At 35.5% G+C, this 21,847-nt stretch overlaps 1 long non-coding RNA gene across 3 annotated transcripts in view; it reads right to left on the bottom strand.

Moving 5' to 3' along the window:
* Window positions 1–18,995, bottom strand: part of LINC00448 (long intergenic non-protein coding RNA 448) — a 135,075-nt gene extending 116,080 nt beyond the window's left edge. The window contains exons 1-3 of one of the 3 annotated variants that reach the window (NR_120403.1): window positions 18,959–18,995; window positions 6,132–6,207; window positions 670–806 (exon numbers count right to left, since the gene is read on the bottom strand). This is a non-coding gene — a long non-coding RNA (long intergenic non-protein coding RNA 448). Of the gene's footprint in view, window positions 1–669; window positions 807–6,131; window positions 6,208–8,195; window positions 8,329–18,958 lie in introns of those variants that run through there. The other 2 variants (NR_120404.1, NR_047029.1) reach the window with 2 other exon arrangements.
* Window positions 18,996–21,847: the final 2,852 nt, after the last annotated feature.

The raw sequence follows: 21,847 nt of genomic DNA on the forward strand, positions 1-21,847 counted from the left end.
CTAAAGTCACATGAACAAAAAATCATCAGTTTCTACTTTTCTGACATAATATGATTTAAGTGTTTATTTTTCTGATCCAATTAATCAGATATCTTTTATATAAACATCATACATACAACTCATATAAGTATACAGACAGACAGAAGATCCAGTAGTTGTTAAGATTTTTCTTTTGCTAGTTTCTTAATTAGATTACTGGTTTCAGGGTGGAGCCCTTGGAGGAACAGAACCAGGAAAGCTTGCAGTATCTAGAGCCTAATAAGCAGGCACAGCTAGAAGGCAAAAAAGAGATCCCCCAAATTAAGAGTGCCATTTTATATTGGATCTTGGATCCCCAAAATAGAGGGAAATACTATGGGAAGAGATAGTGCAGTGCTTCTACCATGCATTTCATTGCAAGGCAACCCAAAGCCAATCAGCCCCATCCCCCATGGGTCTCATCTCTCAGCAGGGGGTAGGGATACTTCCATATCTTCCAGGTGGCCAAGAACATGCTTCTCTAATCCAAGTGTGCAAAGAGGCAAGTATTTCTCCACAATTGCCTTAGCCATCCTGTAAAGTATATTTCCTCCCTAGTTATTTACACACCAAGGCTAATACACACAGTAATTTTTGATACTCACAAAAGTCAAAATTGTCAGCTAACACAAGACAAAACAGAACAAAGTCTTAGATTTTGAGAAAGGTTTATTTCATGTCAATTCCTGGGGTTCTATGGGAAAACAGAGGTTTTTCGCAGAATGGGGTCCATGGTGCCTCCTGTTTTCCCCCAGAAGTTACAGGCTATTAGTAATATCTTGCATTCTCTCATGTGGGTATCAAGAGTGGCAAGAAGACAAAATGGAGAAAAACAGTTCAGTCAACTGAGAAGGAAATTTTTTAATTAGAAAAACATGATTCAGGAATAGAAGAAAGATAAAGCCCTTTTAAATATATATGGTTTGGATATCTGTTTTTAATTAAGCCAATTTTAACCACAGAGTTATTTTGTTAAAAACAGAAAATCTTAAAAACATCTCTTATTACCACACTCCAGCCACGACAGCCAATATGTCTGGCCTTTGAATTCTACCCTAGTTAACCTCCTACATGAAATTAGTAAGTTTTAATTAAGGTTATAACTTAACCATAGATGCATAAGGTATTTTAAAATTACGGTAAGCAGTTTTGTTTTTTTTTGTTGTTGTTGTTGTTTTGTTTTTTTTTTTTTACAAGATTTAGAAACTCCCCAAAGGGAGTTCAGAGAAAGGAGAATTCAAGACAGGAAGTCAAAAGCTATCCATGGGGGTTGTAGGGGGGCAACCTCAATAAATGGCAGTTACAGAAATAACAAGCCAGAAAGGAATCATTCCAGATGCCAAGAATTGAACCTGGGTCACCACAGGAGATAAAGGCTTAGCTACTGAGTTACACAGCATTGAGCAGCTTCGACTGGTTTTCCCAGAAGAAATCTAGAACAGCCAATGTCAAGCTTGCAAAGCCTTTTAACTCCTCAAGAAAATTTTTAGGGCTAAATGTGACATGAACCCCAAAATTTCTGTCCTGTGGATGGTAGAGACCAAGATAAAGTGTCTTCACATGGTCACAAGGTTAAGCTCTTAAGGAGCAAAAGCAAGACAGAAATGTCATCTGGTATCAGTTTCAGAGACCTGCAGCAAACTTGTAACTGACCAGCCTACTGAGTTGGCTTGAAAAGCAGGCTTATAGGGGTCCTAAACTCATGTTCTATCCTATGATACCCCTCTCTCCATTACAGAAAGACAAATTATTAGCACAAAGTGCAACAAATTTGCTACAGCCTAAGACTAGTGTCACAAATCTTTTTCTTTTTTCACTATTAATCAAACCCTTCCAGAGGAGACACACAGTGAGGCTTATCATTTACCCTCCACGCCCCACCTCTCCCCCCGACACACAATGCAGAAAGAGAGAGAGAGACCAGCATCTCGGCTGTAAGAATTTCTTACAGCCAAGCATACCCGGTTTCCGGGTTCCCTTTCTCTGCAGCTTCCAGAAGATTGGAGCAGGCTTTGATGGCCCTGTTCACTGTGACATAGCTGTGAGGGACCAAGCCCCATTACAAAAGAAAGTCATCTTTCTCTGTTTTATGGAACCACAGACAAAAGCTTCTCAATTTCTCAAGATGCTCCCCGACAGGCTGCATGGGAAACCAAATTAACATTTTCCATCCCAGTGGAAGCAAAATACATGTAACCCAACAGACACTGGTCACCTCATTCAATACCCAACATCGACCTGGCAAGGCTCAAAAACTTTTTCCCATTGGTTCCTGTTGTCTTTGATCCACTCAGAGTGGGGAGGGGTGACCTCTTTTTGGGAATTCAATGGGTGGTCTCTGAGCAAGATGAAAAGCAGTAACCCTGAATCAGGCTTGTTAAATTTCTTTCAGGACTCACAGAATGTGACCAGATAGATATGGAGAGTTCTCCAAGTTAGGCCTGCTGGACTTCCGCCAGCAATTCCTTCAGATATCCCCTCCACATACACAAACATACACACAAAGACAAGATGGACAGAAGGCCTTCCAAATCAAGATTCCTAACCAAGAACTCCAGAGTATCCCTTCCAAACTACTCACCTATACTTTGTCTGAGAAATCTCTGTGAAATCTTCCTGATTGAGGAGAAGACTCCCAAACCAAGACTTTTTCTACTCGTTAGGGAAAGCCAACCAAGACCCCCCAGGAGCCAAACCGAGACAGACAACCCATGGTGGAGCTATAGACACCCTGCAATGGGGCTACAGACATACACCCCATGATAGGGCTACAGAAACAGTCGGCAGACGGAAGGAGGCATTGGCAGTGCCTAGGATACTCACCAACCCAGACACCCAGAAATGGGGCTACAGACACCCAGAAATGGGGCTACAGACAAACACTTTACCAAGGGGCTACAGACAGACCCCCTGTGATAGGGTTACAGTGATGGGACATCTCCCCAGAACTATTTCTCTATTATAATTAAATTCATGCATATTGGGTTGGCAGCACCCTGCCAGTAGCAAAAACTACCAGGGTCAGCCCCCAGTCCAAGAGAACTAGACAGCTGCTTGGGCTAATCTCTGAATCCATTGCTGGAGGGGGGCTACTAAACCTTGCATGGGCAGGTAGCCACAAGGGCAATCCCTGACGAGCCCCCAGATTTGTAACTGCCCAGTGGATTCACCTTGCCCGCTGCCTAGACAGAGCTGATTTATGAAGACAGAGGAATTGGAACAGAGAAAGAATAATTCACATAGAACTGGCTGTGTGGGAGACTGGAGTTTTATTATTACTCAAATCAGTCTCCTCGAAAACTTGGGGATCAGAGTTTTTAAGGATAATATGGTGGTAGGGGGCCAGTAAATCAGAAGTTCTGATTGGTTGGCTCAGGGATGAAATCATAGAGAGTCCAAGCTGTTCTCTTCTGCTGCATCGGTTCTTGAGTGAGGCCATAGAACTGGTTGGCAGGTCCAGGTGGGGCCATCCAGTTGTGAGAAATGCAAAGCCTGAAAAGACATCTCAAAAGGCTCATCTTAGGTTCACAATAGTGATGTTCCCTTAAAGAGTAATTGGGGAAGTTAAGAATCTTATGACCTCCGGAATAATGGCTGGTAATATTTAGAATTCTAGCCCCCTCATTCTAACTTGGTGGCTGGCGGTTTTTCATTCCGTTTACAAGATCAGTTTCACTTTTGGAAAGGGCTATTATTTAAACCATAAACTAAATTCCTTCCCAAGGCTGGGTTGGCCTACACCCAGGAATGGATAAGGACAGTGTAGGGATTAGAAGCAAGGTGGAGTTGGTTAGGTCTGATGTTTCTCACTGTCATGATTTCCTTAGTTATAATTGTGCAAAGGTGGTTGCATTCAGAAATAGGGGTTTGCTATAATATATAATAATAATAGTTAACTATAATAATAGTTAAGGTGAGATAATACTAAAGTAGGGTATACCCTTATTTCAATATGACTGGTGTCTTAAGAAAAAAAGAGACACGAAGAAAGACAGAATGCCATGTGAAGACAGAGGCAGAGACTGGAGGGATATAGCTTCACACCAAAAAACATTGCTGATCACCATCATAAATTAGAAAAGGAAAGGAAGAATTCTACTCAGCCTGTCTGAGGGATCATGACCCTGCTGACAGCTAGGTTTCAGTTGTCTGTCTTCCAGACTGTGAGGGAATGGATTTTATTTTTTTAAGCCACCCAGTCAGTTCCTGGTACTTTGTTATGGCAGTCCTCAGAAATTAATACAATAGATGGTTCCTATTTCTCTGACTAAACTTTCCAAGAACCAGGCATTTCAGGAAACAGAAACCAAAACAAGATTCCTTGGCACAATCTTGCCCAAGTATTTTAAGTGTTTCTGTGTTGTTAGAGACAGAATCAGTGAAAATTTCAGTGCCATATAAAAAGCCCATTTATTTATTTATTTCTACAATTTATCTTAGTGAAAGTTAGGGTCTGAAACACTTGAGTGTAGGATTAATGATTCCTATTACTCAGAAAACTTGGGACTAGAATAAATATCTTTTAAGAAGTTGGAGAATAGTAAGGTGAAGTTTGTGGAGCAAATTCAGACAGCTGAATTTAACCTGAAAAAGTAAGGCAGATACTATAAAGACAGTAGATGATGGAAAGCAAAGCAAAACAAATTTCCTTTAATAGCATGGGCGAAGATCAGCTATTTGAAGTTCTTTGCAATAGAGTAAATGCACATAATAATGCTTATTTAGCAATTAGAGAGGCCAGTATTCTAAGAACATTCTGCCAATTATTATATTTAATCCCCATAAAAATTTTATGAGGTAAGTACAAAAACCCCCTTTGGAAAGATTATTACAGTGAGAGAAATCTAACATATCTAACTCTATCTTGTGTCTAAACTCACAAGCTAACTGGGATTATTCATTCCTGGGCATAGGCCAAGCTAACTATGGGAGAAATTTAATTTATAGTTTAACCTTAAAATAAGAATGATAATAGCTCTTTTGAAAAAACTGCCTTCCTACTTGTTCAGGGACCAAAACCACCTTCATAAAACTAATGAAAGTCCACAAGGTTAGAATTCTGGGAGGGGCTTGAATTCTGCTAAGACCTATGCATAAGACTTAACCTGTGCAAAGGTTAGGCAATAACCAGCTGTGGTTCTATAGCTTGCTTACTGCTCAGGAGTCATGAAGCCTGAGGTCATAAGATTCAGAACTTTCCCAATTGGTCCTATAGATAGCATCACTATTGTAAAAAACCTGGGATTGGTCTTTGAGATATTTTTCAGACTTTGCATTCTAGTGGACCAACTGATACCATCTGGACCCACCTGGCAGAGTTGGTTATTTAAAGTCTTTGAAGAATTGGTCAGTGAAACCCCACCCAGAAACTGATTCAATGTGTGAAGACAATTTGGGCATTCTTATGATTTCCTCCCCAAGCAAGAAGCTGCACCGATTCCCTAACCCCTTGCCTGTCAATTATCCTTAAAAAGCCTAGCCTCCAAGATCTCAGAAAGTCAGATTTGACAAATATCTTCCATATTTCTGTTTGACTGTCTTGTAATAATTAAAATCTCTGCTGCAACACTCCTGCTGTTCTCAGTGTATTGGCTTTTCTGGGCAAGAAGAATCTGTCAGGCTATAGTGGTACTTGCATTATCTGTATTTTACAGATGAGGAAACTGTCATCTCAGCATTTGTTGACTGAGTGAACTTGGCAGAGTGGGTTATCTAAAGTCAGATGGTTTGGGTCAGAGCTGTTTTCCTGTACATATTTCTCCTCTTATATTAATACAGGTGGGAAGTTTTAGCCAGCTATTCATTTTTTTTTTTTAAGACCACACTCGTTTTTATTCCTGAAGTTCATTGGTAAGTTATTTCTGCTTTTCTGTGTTTCAAGTCTTTTTTTCTTTAGGCATTAGCTACAATTGTGATATTGATCTCCAATAACATTTAGATTATCTGACCCCACATAAAGATTTTTTCCTTTATAGTAAGAATAGGTCATACTAATTTCTTATTGTTTGTTAAGAAACAATCATAGAATACATCTTTTACAGTGTATCATTTTACCAGTTATATCACATTAATAATCATGGATGAAAAAGATGAAGCAAATAAATTTGACTTACAGAAGATTTCCAGCATTTGTTTTTGATTTTCAGTGTTTCATATTTCTCAACTGAAAGGCTATAAAGCTCTGAGGATCTAAAAGATAAAAAATATCTTCAAAACATTAGATTCTAACCTCCCAGACCAGCACTGGCATTATTAACTTTTAATAGGACAATAGCAGAAAACAAGATTTTGTTCTTCTTTTATCCAGTAATGAAAATTTTATCAATTGATAAGATGAATTATAGTGTCAAGAAATTTTTTTTATTAAAGATTTTTTCCTTTTTTTCTTCCCTGGGGGCTAGGCCTGGGAATTCCACCATCTATCTGAGAGAATGAGGTTTTTTTTTTTTTCTTGTTCAAGTATGATTCCCTTATAACCTACAGCATTTTTTATTCATGGTACAAATATTAGTGGTAGTGTTGGGAGATAAGATTAAATTATATTCACTAATATAATGAAGTATGGGGAAGAGACTAGAAGAATCAAGTTTAGTGTTTGAAAAATCAATAAGCTTCCCAGTATCTGGCAAATCCAGAGAGAATAATGATTGAAAGAACCACAAGAAAGTAGATCGTATATGTATCAGCCTTATTTGTAAGGAAAAAAATGTAGGAGAAAGAATATCAAACATAATTTGATATACAGTTGTGGAAGAAAACACTACATCCTCCAAATTTTACTATTTTTATTTTTTAAGCATTATATAAATAAGCTAGTACTTTGTTAGAATCAGACTATACTTCGACCTTAAGAAATTAACAGTTTAGAGGTAATTCTTTATGAAAATCTGGTAACTCAGGAAATCTTAGGCAATATTTGTTAGCCCTTTTGAGCTGAGAGAACAACTGTCTTAATTGCTGCTGCTTAGAACCCTGATATGACTTTCATGATGAAAAAAGTTATGAACCACTCTGGAAAATAAGAGTTCATGAGTTGAAAATTCTGCTGTAGGTAATGAAACAATAATGGAAGCAGAAAGGTTAAATAGCTTTTCTAAAGATCAACAACCAGTAAGTAGCAAAGCAAAAATCAGTATAAAATTTTACAACCTCAGGAGCTTTTAACCATATCACTGATTTTTTCTAGAGCTTTTTGTTAATGAAGTAACACTTTCTATAGACATGATGTTGTAGCTAAAGGGATAGCTCCCAATATTAATACTTAATTTTTTTTGGCTATACATTTTAAAAATTATTACCTTAAAACAAAGTAATAAAATCTCCTTGCATGCAATGGATTCTAAAATGGGTAAAGATAATACTAAAGTTGTCTAGTTGTCCTTTAATGTACTGTACTATAATTTCATTATAAAATCTGTTAAAATATTGAAAAACATTTAATATTACATTCTACATGAATTAGATTTTATAGAATTTTCTGAAATAAATACAGCCATAGCAATGTATAATAAAAGAAAGATATGAAAATAGAAAAAAACTTCAAAAAATGTTAAAACTTGATTTTTTATACTTTTCAGAATGAGAGAAACAAGTTTTTAAGTGAAAATGCATTATCAGGTAACAACTACAAAAAATCACCAGCTCCTCAGCTTGCAAAGATCTCAAGGCCAAGTGCCTTTTCCATCATCAAGGATAAGAGCACTAACCTCAATACTGATTCACAGGAAAGTTTTTATTTTTTTACTGCATTTATGAGCATTTATATAGTTTTCATACCTTAGGCAACAAAATGACAATGGCAGAATTGACCTTTTGAAAAAAAATATATTTTTACTCATTTCAAAAGAGAAATGAGTTCAGACATGGAGCTACAAAGTTCAAAAAAACAAAAAGATAAAAGATGCTGAAAATGAATGGAATAGGTACATATATTTTTAAATGTATATAAAATGTAATATATTAAAGTAAAAAATATAATTAGAGGTTAAAGTCTAAAAATTTTGAGTAAGTTGTTTGGATTTAGAAAATGTATGCTTTACTGAATACAGATGATTAATTTCTGGCGTGTAAGGGAAACATTATCTTTCTCAATAATATATTGCCCTAGTCTGTTTGGGCCGCTATAACAAACACAACATAGACTGGCTTGCTTATAAAAACAAAAATGTATTTCTCACAGTTCTGGAGGCTGAAAGCCTGAGTTCAGGGTGCTAGCACAGCTGGGTTCTGGTGAAGACTTGCTTCCTGGTTCATAGACTGCCATTTTCTCCCTGTATCCTCACATGGTGGAACTTGCAAGGGATCTCTCTGGGGTCTCTTTCATAAGAGCTCTAATCCCATTCATGAGGGCTCCACCCTCATGCCATTATCACCTCACAAAGGTTTCACTTACTAATCCAATCACATTGGGGGTTTCAATTTTGACATATAAATTTTGGGGAGGATACAAGCATTCAGTCCATAACATTATATATATATATATATATATATATATATATATATATATATATATATATATGGCTGGGGCAGTGATAAAGTGTTCCATATTATATATATATATGTTATATATGTTTCTTATATATGTTATATGTTATATATGTTTCATATATATGTTATATATTATATGTTTCATATATATGTTATATATTATATATGTTTGATATATGTCATATATTATGTATGTTTCATATATGTTATATATTATATATGTTTCATATGTATATATGAAAATTAAGCAGATAAAATTCCATTTTCCATCCTTCCAAGAAGAAGGGGTGAGTCTTCTATTAAGGATCTACTTGCTAAACTTAAAAGCCTGTTGAGAACTCAACCCTATATTTTTTGTACAATTATATTTTGGCATAACGAAAACACATAATTTATAAAATGCTCAAAGATACGTCATTTAAAAAGCAATACAAGAACAAAATACAGCATTTATATGCAATAAAGTATTGTCACAAGAATGAGGATGAATTATTTGGAATGTAACATGTATGCAATATGTTTTTATAAAATTGTGAAAAATGAAGAAGAACATAGGTCATGAATGAATGTAGATATATACTATAACACTGTAATGTAATGTGCTTAACACTTAGGTTTAAAAAAAGAGTTTTGGAAATGGTGTTAAAATAAGTTGGCTATTAATGTGATGTATTCCAAAAAGTTTTGGTTGGAAGAGAAAATGAATAAGCTGTCTTTCACACAAAACCAGAGCAAAAAATAAGTGTGTTTACTGACAATAAATAACTCCTTCTATTACACCAGAAAAGAAATGACTATGTACAGTATAGAGCTTTTTCCACAAATATGCCTTTAGTACTTATCTTTATGTATGTGCCTTACAAAAACTATTAATATAAAATATTTAATTAATTGCTATAAACGTGATGATTGTTTATGAGAGTAAAAGTAGGTCTGTTAAGTCGATGGCCCTTTATTTTGAGAAGTGTATATGTGTGTGTGTGTGTGTATGGGTGAGTGTGCGTGAGAGCGAGAGAGCGAGAAAGGGAGGGAAGGACAGGTATGTTTGTACATGCGTATGTTTGTTTGCCTGTTTGTTTTAACATTTATCTAAGATTGTTTTTTTCATTGAGGGGTTGGGGGGCGGGTGGCTTCAAATGACTTAGTCGGCTCATGTTTGCAAACTCAGGAGTAATTGCTGGGGCAGTGATAAAGTGTTCCATATAATCGAATTAAAATAATACATTGAAATTGAGTGAGGAAATATATAAATCCAGGTTAAGTGCATTTGGAAAAGAATCAGAGAGAAGAAATGCAGTGATGTTGAAGTGCAGCTGAGACTGAAGAAACAATAACATGTATCTAAAAGGGATTTTAAAATGTAATCTCTTTTATCATTTTACATAAGATAAAAATTTTCATAAAACTTAGAAATGTGCTGTCCTGTTTTCAAGTTAATGAGGAGATTTAAAAAATGCAAAGACAGGCACACGGAAGTTGGAAGACCTAGGAGTAGCACTATCTCAGTTATAAAAGAGACTGGACCAGTAGCTGCAGAGGACTAATAAAAACCATGATGGCTATTAAATTAGGCTATTTGTAAGTTTTCAGTGATGATATCGTCTGGAGTACAACATTTCTTCTCAATATGTAGACAGTAAACATTTTAGCAATGCTTTCAACTTTCAACTCAGCATTTATTTGCATCATTCAGTTAGACATAAACTTCTAAAATAAAATGTACCTTTTCCTCTTTTTGCATTCTTAAATATTCTTTAATATTTATGAAATTAGGATAGCTCTTTCAGTTTTTTTATTATTTGAAATAACATAAATGGTCCTAAAATGTACGAATTCAAAGTTATCTTAATGAATCAACTATACAAGCAATAAACATAGGACACAGGAAAATCATTTAAATTGATACGCAATTACATTGCAATTATATTGATGGCAGCGGTGGTCCATCTGGAGCGGCTATTGCCATCAAGGAGGCTGCAATGGGGGAGGCATGGCCGTGGCTGCAGCTCCACAGAGCCAGGAGGAGCCAGGAGGAGCCAGGAGTAAGCAGAAGCCCAGTCCACTTCTGAGTTGGCAGGACAGGAGCCTCCCGCTTCCCAGGTGCAGCTGCGGCTGTCCAGCCACGGCTGCAGAACCAGGCATTTCTGTGCTCTTGGGGACCAGGAGCAGGGAGGAGCTCCTCCCTCCTGGGTCCAGCTTCAGCCTCCCAAGCTGCGACTGCAGACCCAGGCATCTCTGCACTCTTGGGTGCCTGGGAAGCCTTCTTTCTCGACAAGCTCAGAGGTGCCTGCTCCCACTGCCTAGCCTCTCCCGACTCCTGGCTACCACTCTGATTTCAGAGCAAAGTTAAGGTTGAGCCTGGGAGCTGTTGCAACCCAGCTGGGTGAGCCCACGCTTGGGACAGCACTTACATGCCAGCTCCCTGTCCTCTCGGCCCCCTCCGGACTTTGGGTGCCAATGAGCATGGGAGGGAGTTTGAGGAGGGACTGAGGGTAGCTTGGTGCTGCCTGCAGGTGCCCCTCAGCATGAACAGCCTGGGCACCCTGAATAGCAGCAGGAGGTAGACAGTCTCTGGGTGGAAAGGGGCGGGTCCCGGGTAAAGCCCCACTTTCAAGATGGGGAAGGCCTGAAGCATGGGGGCCATTCTACCAGTCCTGTAGACTGGAGTGGAAACTTATGGTGCTTTGTCTGGGCCCACCCATGGCTGCCCATGGACTAATCAGCATGCACTTCCTCTCTTCTGAAGTCCATCAAAACCCGTGACTCAGCCAGACTTAAGAAAATGATGAGATGACCTGCCTGCAGAGAGGAGCTATCCACACCAGGGTCTCCTCTCTGCTTAGAGCTGAAAAGAGATGACAGGATGACCAGCTGCAGAGAGGAGCTACGCACCCCAGTGTCTCCTCTCTGCGGAGAGCTGGAAAGATGATGGGACAACGTGGAGCTACTCACTCCAGTGTCTTCTCTCTGCTGAGGGCTCAACACTTGCAGGGACACCCTGGCTGTGGAGAGAAGCTTCCCACTGTGGGTCTCCTCTGAGCTGTTCTATCACTCCATAAAACTCCTCTTCACCTCACTCACCCTCCACTTGTCTGTGCATCTTAATCATCCTGGGCATGGGACAAGAACTTGGGACACGCTGAATGGTGGGGCTGAAAGTGCTGTAACACAAACAGGGCTGAAACATGTCCCTTGCTCACCACATTGCGGGGTGACAAGAAGGAGAGAAGAGCTGCGGCCCTTTGGGAAGTCCAGGCCTAGGAGCTCCCTGAGCCAGGCCTGTGACACATCTTTGGGGCTCTGCATTTCCTGCTCAGTGGCCAGACCACATGCACACACCCCTTGTTGCTCTCCTTGCCCTTGGCAGGCATGGGATTCAAGCCAGTAGCATGAGCCAAGTGCAGCCTGCTAGGCCAAGTGGGCCAAGCAGGCCCAAGTAAAACTCGGGCAAAGGTACCACTGGCCACAGAGGTTTCCAGCTGATGAAGCAACATCCCAAGGATCCTGTAACAATTTGTATTACAAACCTTATATTTTTCAAACGTATCTTTTTCCAAATCTATCTAAATTATAATTTTTCTAATAAGTGCTTTACCTAATGTATTTATTCCTACTCATATTACATTCAATACAAAATCAGAAATCTTTTCAGAATACTATCAACAATTTAAAGATAAATGGAGCTGCTTATGTTTGTCTCCATGGTGGGCCACAGAAGTTGAGATATCAGTTGACAGACTTACCTGCATAGCCTTTTAAATAATTTCTGTTTTCAACTCCATTATTTTCTTCCACTTACCTATGAAATCTGAGTCCAAAGTATCTCACTGGTTCCTTGAGTAAACTGCACCATTTCTCTTGCAGTACCTTGGTTGGTTTTGTCCTAGTTTTATGTATCAATCTGTTTTTATTTTCATTCAATTATTTTTAAGTACATTTTTATGGATTACATAGATATGTATACAGCTGAATGAATTTACACACAAAAAAATGCCCATGTAAGCAGCATCTAGTTATTTAAAAGACAGTTTGAACTATATGAAATTCCAAGTTTTAACAATTTTTGACCATAAAAACAACAAGTTTATGTGTTTGTTTACTAGTACTCCAGTTTTCTCCTGGAGTACACTCCCAGTCATTACTATTGTACATATAGCTACCACTCTTGTTTTCTAACACACCATAGTTCTTGCCTGTTTTTGTGATTTATACAGATGGCATCATGTAATATATATTATTTCCTCTCTTCTACTCAAATCCTCAGTGAAATTCATCTTTGTGGTTGCATGCAGTGAGGATTCTTTGATTTTCATAGCTATATATTTTCCATTGTATAAAAATACTATGCTTTATGTATTCTCGTATTAAGAACATTTGAGATATTTTCATCTTGGTGTTATTATTGTTAATATAGCTATATATTTTTATTACCTATCTCGTAGTGAATAACTCCTTCTTTCTGCTCAGGATATTTCTAATAGTGAAAGTGATGTGTAAGAGTATGTGTATTTATGGAGGTTTACCAGATACATCAGATGATTTTCCATTTGTGTTTCAGTTTATACTCCTACTAGCAGAGTATGAGAGTTTTTGTTATTCCACACCTTTGCCATTATTTAGTATTGTCATCCTTTTTAATTTTAGTTCTTCTGCTGAGCATGTAAAGTATTACTTTGGATATTTAATTTACATTTCTCTGACCCTAATGAAATTTGATCAGATACCTTCTCCTGTTTGCTGGTCACCTATATATTTCCTTGGGTAAAGTGTTTCTTCAAGTATTTGCCTATTTCATTTTTTAATTATGTTATCTATTATCAATTTATAAGAAGTTTTAAGTGTGTAGCAATAACTATTAAAACTAGATATTAGTATACCTATGACCAGAATTTCCAGGCTTGGATATAGACCCTCTGTGATATTATGATATCATGTGCATATGGTTAATATCGATAGTTCTTGGTTCATAACTCTCATAGCCCTTGTTATAATGTTGGGGTGAGTCAGACCTGAGAAGCAGACCTTAGAAAATAGAATCTCACTCTCTGACCTGCTGATCTCCTTACATTTGCTCTTTTTTTCTCCCCAGGCAGGGCAGGAATCTTCCCCTACGTTTCTGTTTTGAAATTCTCTGACCTCCCTTATCTGATTGCAAATATGACTCCCATTTCAGAAGGGGTCCTGCCTCCTACCCTGTAGGAAGGAAAGCTTCACTGAAAGACCAAGAAGAATCTAAACAGACAGGCCGTGCTGTGTTTCCTTAAACAGTCTATTAGTATTAGATCACACCCTTTTGTCTAGTCTATACAATTGTCCTTACTTCAATCCTACTTACCTAACAAAGTTCTCCAGAAAATGCCTGAGAAGACAGGGTATGGGGAGCTTCCAGGACAGTTGACTGAATGCATGGATATTACGGGGGGTGGTTCACCTTGGGAGGGCATGGAAGTTTTACATCCTTTACCTCCTACCTGGCTCTAGGCATCTCTTCATCTATTTTCTTTGCAGTATCATTTATAATAAACCAGTAAACGTAAGTGTTTACTTGAGTTCTGTGAGCCACTCTAACAAATTAAACCCAAGGAGGGAGTTGTGGGAATTCTGATTTATAGCCCATCAGTCAAAAGCACAGGTACAACATTCTGAGGCTTGTGATTGGCATCAAAAGTGAGGAGCGGTCTTGTGGGACTGAGCCCTCAACCTGTAGAATTTGATGGTATTTCCATAGAAGACAGTATGGGGATTTCATTGGAGGACATTTGTCTTTTATCCACTGAATAACTGATTGCTTGCTTGCTGGTGGGAAGAAAATCCCACACATGTAGTCACAGAAGTCTTCATGTTGATCGTTGTGTTGTGAGAGCAGAGAAAAACTGTTTTTTCCACTCACATCCTTAAAACATATGCCTTTATGAATAGAAAGTTACAACCAAAAATTTCATTGCATCGTAATGTAATAGCCAAAAACCTTCAAATAGTTGAAATCTTCATTAACCATTGAATATATAAATAAAATATAGTATGTTCATATAACACATTATTATACACCATTGAGAATGAAGTATAATATTGATGAGACTCACATATATAATTGTATGTTTTTTTGTATAAGATGTATACAAAAAATATAGGCCACATGTTTCCATTAATATAAATCTAAGACACAGGTAAAACATGTTTATGTGTTAGAAGTTAGAAAGTGATGATGTCATTGCAATAAATGGTGATTCAGAGGGACCACAAAGGGGTCTCTGGTGTGTTGATAATGTTCTATTCATTGCAGTTTAACCTTTTCAGGCCCAGTCCTTACAGACATAAGTTTACTTAAAAATATTTTTAAAAAGTCAGATATTGAAATTCACTGATTTACTGTTGCATTTCTGTGGAATCATTCTAGTTTTGGTTTTTTTGTTTGTTTTTGTTTTTGTTTTTGTTTTTATTGAGACAGAGTCTTGCTCTGTCACCCAGGCTAGAGTGCAGGGGCACGATCTCAGCTCACTGCAAACTCTGCCTCCCGGGTTCACGCCATTCTCCTGCCTCAGCCTCCCGAGTAGCTGGGACTACAGGTGCCCACCACCATGCCTGGCTTATTTTTTTTATTTTTAGTAGAGATGGGGTTTCACCGTGTTAGCCAGGATGGTCTCAATCTCCTGACCTCGTGATCCACCCTCCTCAGCCTCCCAAAGTGCTGGGATTACAGGTGTGAGCCACTGCGCCCAGCCGGAATCATTCTTAAGTGACATAAATTTCAACAGTAAAATTCGAAATAAATCACAATAAGTTTCAAAAAATTCTTGGAGAATTTCCAAACTACTAAATATAGGAATATTGATTAATGCAATTATAGAAATAGCGATATTTTCATGAACAATTCCTTTATGCAAGGTTTGTTGAAACAAGGATGAAACTTTTATTATCAGCCAAAAATAATCTTGGCATAAAATCATTGGGATCCACTATATTATTAAATGGACAATACCGTATTTATATTTCATAATTAGATTTCAAATTTATTACAGTAGTATATTATACGAGGCTAAAATTCATCATTAAAGTAATTATCTTTACTTTCCTGTTTCTCCTCAATCAGTTTGGATATAGTGGGAAGAAAAGATGTTGTTTTTAGGATAAAGTCTTATGCAATATACACATGAAAACTGGAAAATATTGTTGAGAAGATTTTGTAACTATTTGTGTATTCATAAGTATGGAAAATATATAGTGTTTACAATATTTAGTTCTGGAAATGAAAGAAAATATTTCTTTGTAGCATATGGTACATTCAATTTTAAAAAGGAGTATTTTAGGAGAGAAATTATATAAAATAAAAATTTTGAGTATAGGCAAGAAAAATTCCAGTGAGAATAGTTAGAATAAATTTAACAGTGAATGCTACTATTTACAAATTCTAGTGTTCAGTAAGTAATAATCTAAAATCAGATGCTTTATTTAGCCGAACATAAAGCCAAAGTCACTTAAATATGTCATTTGGTCTGGCAAAAAGCATGTAACACTATATTGAACTAAAAATGTATAATTTTATATTACAGAGAAATAGCAACACTTTCACCTCCCGAAAATAAGAAAAATTATCACTGGCCTCTGGGTTTCTTTCCTCAAAATCAACGTTGTGGAACCCAAGATGTAAAGGTGAAGGTAAATTACAGGAACTAACTTTTGTACATTAACCTTAGTTAATCTGGTTGTGCAGAGTTCTTAGTTCCTTTTGATAAATAATTGTAGCCATTGGTAAAATTTGAAATAGATGGACTTATTTATAAAGTCTAACAACGTTCTAGTTTGCTGTATCTTAAATATTGTCTAACACTGACTTGCAAGAAAAGCTCACTGAGGCTTATTTTTGAAGGCAGGTTTCATTTACTGTTATGGCCAACTTGAAGCAATAATAAGTTAGCCATACCAATAGTTGGACTTGAGATCATTTAGAAATTAAACCTCAGATGACTTCGTTAAAGATATAGGTTATAGGCATTGTTAGATATGTAGGGTGTTGAGAGTATTTTAATCAATCTAAAAACTTGAATACTTTAAATTTTACTAATAAGAATTTACATCTAGTGTTTATAATGCTAATTAAAACATTAATTGTACCAATACAAAACTATTTATGACCTTCACTTTAATAATTTGCAACATTTCTGGTCTAGATCAGAGATAAAGGTAGCTGAAATATTTGTAGGAACCACCTCTGGAATTTAGACTTTCTGATAAAATGATAATTGACCACTCCTGAAATGTATAAAGTATTTTATTGTATTGTGTATGTACTGTATTGAATGTATATTGTATTGGCTAGTAAAAGACTAGCCAATCTGAATTATAATTGAATTTATTTGAAAAAACACACAGACACGCACACATACACTTGCATATATCATACTATACTGTCTTTGGGAAGGATTTTAGAGTACTTTAAAATATTAACTTTAAAAATGTGAGAAACTCTGGAGAAGCTATAAACAATATTGGACTGCTGTGCATTTGTTGAAGGTAGGTAGGGCTAGAAAGGAAAAGGTAGGTTAAAACCTGATAAAGAAAGAAGTCAGAGGCAGTTCTGAAGGAATAGCAGAAAAAAATATTTTTATGTTCTGATAATGCTGGTACACATTTCCATAGCTTTAAAGCAATAAAGGCCAAGACATTTATTGATGAAATCAGCAACAACAAATTCAGAACTACCAGTGCCAGTGTCAAGCAAGTCTTTTTGTTGAAGACTTACTGGATCAAAATCTGTACTTCCCTTTAAGAGGATAAATGTGAAATTCTGACTAAATAAATACGTGGCCAAGTGGTCTCAGTCAAGAGTTATCAAAAGTGCCTCTGTGAGGACTTCTGGTTTTAGCTCTTGCATGTAAAGCACATGGAAGTTGCAATTCCATTCTTAAAACAAGAACATGTTAAGAAAATTGAAAATAAATGACTTTCCTTGGATCCATCAATAATAAGCTACCACTGTAGAATTATTAGAATGGTTACAATCCATAAACCTGACAGCACCCATTGCTGGTGAAGATGCAAAACAACAGGAACTCTCAATCATGGTTGACGGGAATGAAAATGGTACAAACACTTTGTAAAATGTTTGGTACATTTTTTTACAGAGTTAAACATAGTCTTATCACATAATACAGAAAGAACAGTCCTGGTTTTTACCCAACTTATTTGAAAACTTTTGTCTACACAAAAACTTGCACATAAATGTTCATCACAGCTTTATTCATAATCACCAAGAACTGGAAAGAAAAAAAGATGTCCTTCAATAGATGAATCATACAGTATATATACTTTAGAGACTGGCTTATTTAGCTTAGCAATAGGTATTTAGGAATTTACCATGGCTTGATAATTTGTATAAGGTGTTTTCCACCAGAATATAGATTAACAATTCTAAAATCTTTATACCTGCATCCTGAAGTTGATTTATTAAACAAATGATGACAAATGGTAGAAGCCAGGCATTCTTACTATTAAAGTAGAATGTTACAGATAAGCAAGGGGTTTAAGTTAGATTGTGTGGTAGTAGACTAGATTTGGAAACATAAATATAAACTCATGTTTAACTTAATATGAATAGACATGCTTACATATAGGAATATTTATAGATATGTGTACATACTTTGGTTAGTACACATGCATATTTCTTTATTCTGGCACACGAGAGGTTCTAGTAGCAAAGACAGTCCATTAGCAACAAGCAAACCAAGCAGGCTGATTATGGTTTCTAACCGCAATCTCTAGTAAAAGAAACTAGGTTCTCTGTGGGAAAAGGGATGGTTGTTGGGCTGGGCAGAAAATATATAATATGAACCTGGGGTATTTTGTAGTGCCAGAATGTAATAACATACTCAAAAAAGAAAATAAAACAAACAAAAAAAACCCCAACAATAATAGTATGTCAAAAGGACACAAAGCCAACTAAAAGAGCTTCCAATAGTCAAGGCTGAAACAATTTGAGCAAGGACATACATAAAGTAGTGTTAGATTTTAACCCAACATAAAATAAATATTCATGTGCCTATGTTGACATAAACATATAATTTGAGTTGATCAATGGCAAGGAAGATACAAATGTCCTCTGCAGAAAAATCTGAAATAATTTAGATAGCTAGCTACTCTGTTATGAAGGAGGTTAAACATAGCTCCTCACTTCTTAACTGTGGGCTATACATAGTGATTTCCTTCCAACAAATACAATATGGAAAAGGGAAAAAGAGTAAATTTACAGTGAAGAAACCTGATAAAAACTACCTCAACCAGATGATCAAGGTTAGCATCATCAGTGATAACTCATTTGCATAGTGTCTACCCTCGATATGATGTACTGAGAATTGTACTTTATCTATGTAGTCTTCTGCCCCAACACCCATAACTTTGACCCTGAAAAAATTTGCAAACAGATCCCAATTGAGAAATATTCTATGAAATATCTCACCTGTACAAAACACTGTGAAAGTCATCAAAATCAAGGAGTGTATGGAAAACTGACATCAAGAGAAGCTTAGGAGACATTACTACCAAATGTCACGTGGTATCCTGGATCAAAACTTGAAAGAGAAAAAGGACTTGTATCAATATGGGTTTATACATTTTAACAAGTGCATTATCCTAAATGTAAGATATTAATAATAGAAAAAACTGGGTGCTGAGTATATGGGAACTCAGTAGTATATTCACAACCTTTAGTAAACCTGAAACTATTCTAAAATAAAAGCATTGATTTAAAATAATAAAAAGCAATAACCAAAAAAAGTGTCTCTTTGATGCATGTAGATAATTACTTTTCATGTTTTCCACAATTCATGGCCATTCCTAAAAACATATTAATAATAGAAATATATAAAATTTGTATAGTCATTGTTATGTGTTAGTCATTTTTCTAAGATTTACATACAAACACATACATACAGACAGACCCAAATACATATACATATGTTCATATCTGTGGAGTGTGTGTATGCAGCATATCTGTGTGTGTATATATGCATGCATACACACACATTTTATGTATATATCCATATATATTCAATATATATGTTTGTTATAAACACATATGTAAATTAAATTAACCTTATAACAACTGTTGCTTTTACTACTATTCTCAACTTACAAGTTAGAAATTTGGAGAAATACTGGAGATATATATTCCAATAAAAATTGTAATTTGCTCAAGTATATCTTATAATTTTTTATTAGCATAGGGCCATTGATAAAACCTATAAGTGATTTATGATAATTGGCATTTAATTCTCAATAAGCTACCCAATGAGTTACATACTAACATTTTTCCTTTTTTACATATGGGTAAACTGAGGCACAAAAAGGTAAATATTCTACATGCCACACATCCTTTGACTAGTAAGTTGTAAATATTACCAGCAGTGTACTTTGAATATAAGGGATCTGATTCCAGAGTAATGTGCTTAACCTCTTTTCTATCATGGCCCCCAGGCTCCACATTAAAAATTCCATAAAATCACAAATAGGAGAGGAAAGAAAAGGCACTCCTATATATAGTATATAAAATTTAAGAATATCAGAGGCCAAAATGAAAATTCTAAAATTTTATAGAAGAATAGGAACTCATTCTAAGAATTATACTATGAATCAGATTTTTCACCTGCAATATTACATGCAAGAAGACAAATAGAGCATTTTGTTTTTTGCAGGAAACTATTAAATACATTAGCATCTAAATTTCACATTTACTCAAACTTTTACTTAATTTGGGGAATAAAGAAACCATTAGATAAACAGGTTATTTGTGTTCTACCATACAAAATGCAGGTTGAAATATTTTGAAGGTTTTATATTAATATTTACAGAAATAAATCAAGGAAATGCTTGAAGACATAGAAAATGGAAATGTTCAAATAGCTTGCCACTTAATAGTTTCTTACACCATCCTATTATTTTTGAGAACTAAAGAATACCTAATGTTATTACAGACTATGTCTCATTTTTATGCTAAATGAGAAAATAAGAGCATTCTGAAATACTCCTTTTGTGAGATTATATAAATATATATATATATATTACTACTTAATCAATTGGTACATATTAACATACATGATTATCTAGTAGTGGAACATCATGGACATAAAAATAGAGTGCACATGCATGACTATTAATCCAACAGAGAAAATTTGGCCTATGTATTGCAAAACACAAAAGTGGGGCAGGAGGATTAACAAAAGAAATTCTGTAAATAAAAAGTATGAAAAAATATGGTAGGAAAAACCTGAACAATGATCTGCTAAATGTAGCTTAAATGAGTTAAACTCACAAAGTAAAATCCAAAGATCTTTTTGCATATTGGCTAAAGCAACATCATTCACCAGTACACTATCCGAAATTGACAATAAACACAATTTCCAACACCCCTCTTCCACACACAAATACACACAGAAAGACTGGGAGATGGGAATGATATTCAAGAAAAACAAAAGATTTTAGTGGTCAAGGCATGGAATTACGTATTGTGTACTGGTAAAAGTAACAATGGAACAAGAATGTATATCTATCATAAGCATTTGTGAACAGACCCATAACATAAATTAAATAAAGTGGACAAACTGTATGGAGAGTTAAATAAATCAATAGTTGTGGGATGTAGGATATGTTCGAATTTTAACACAAATTATGAAAAAAGTTTTTAAAAATTAGCAGATGCATCAAATATTTAAATAACACAATTTGTTCATTTGCATGGGCATATAAAACCTAAATATATCATTGGGCAATAATACAATTGAAGAAATAAATAACATGGTAGACTAAAAATGGTTACAAAACATAAATAGCATTGAGTCTACATTCTCTGAGAAAAAAGTGAGAAAATAAAAATTAATCTAAAATGGATAGATTCAATATGATTGACATATAACATACTGTCAAACAATTTTTAGACCCCCAAATAACAAAAGAATCTAAAGCAAATATAAAGGAAAACATTTAAAAAGTTCAGGACTGTTAAAATTATAAAGCAAAACACACATAAGGGATTACTTAAATAGAAGTCACAAAGGATTAGGCTATAAAATTATTCATCACAGTTATTATATATAAAAATATCTTAAACATACCAAGTGGGAGAAAGTATATAAACATTTTTTGATTTTTTGCCAATAGCTTGTGAAACATTATTGTCCTTTCATATTTTAAAATAAAATTTAGTATAATCAAAATTATTTTAATTTCATCTTTCATAATATAAATTACATGTATATTTAAATTTCAATAACACATAAAAATGTATAAATATTGGGTGATTTTATAAATATTTATTTATGCTTTAAAAATTTTCTTTCCAAGTTTGTATAAA

Source organism: Homo sapiens, chromosome 13 (assembly GCF_000001405.40).
Source record: "Homo sapiens chromosome 13, GRCh38.p14 Primary Assembly".
NCBI classification, from domain to species: domain Eukaryota; kingdom Metazoa; phylum Chordata; class Mammalia; order Primates; family Hominidae; genus Homo; species Homo sapiens.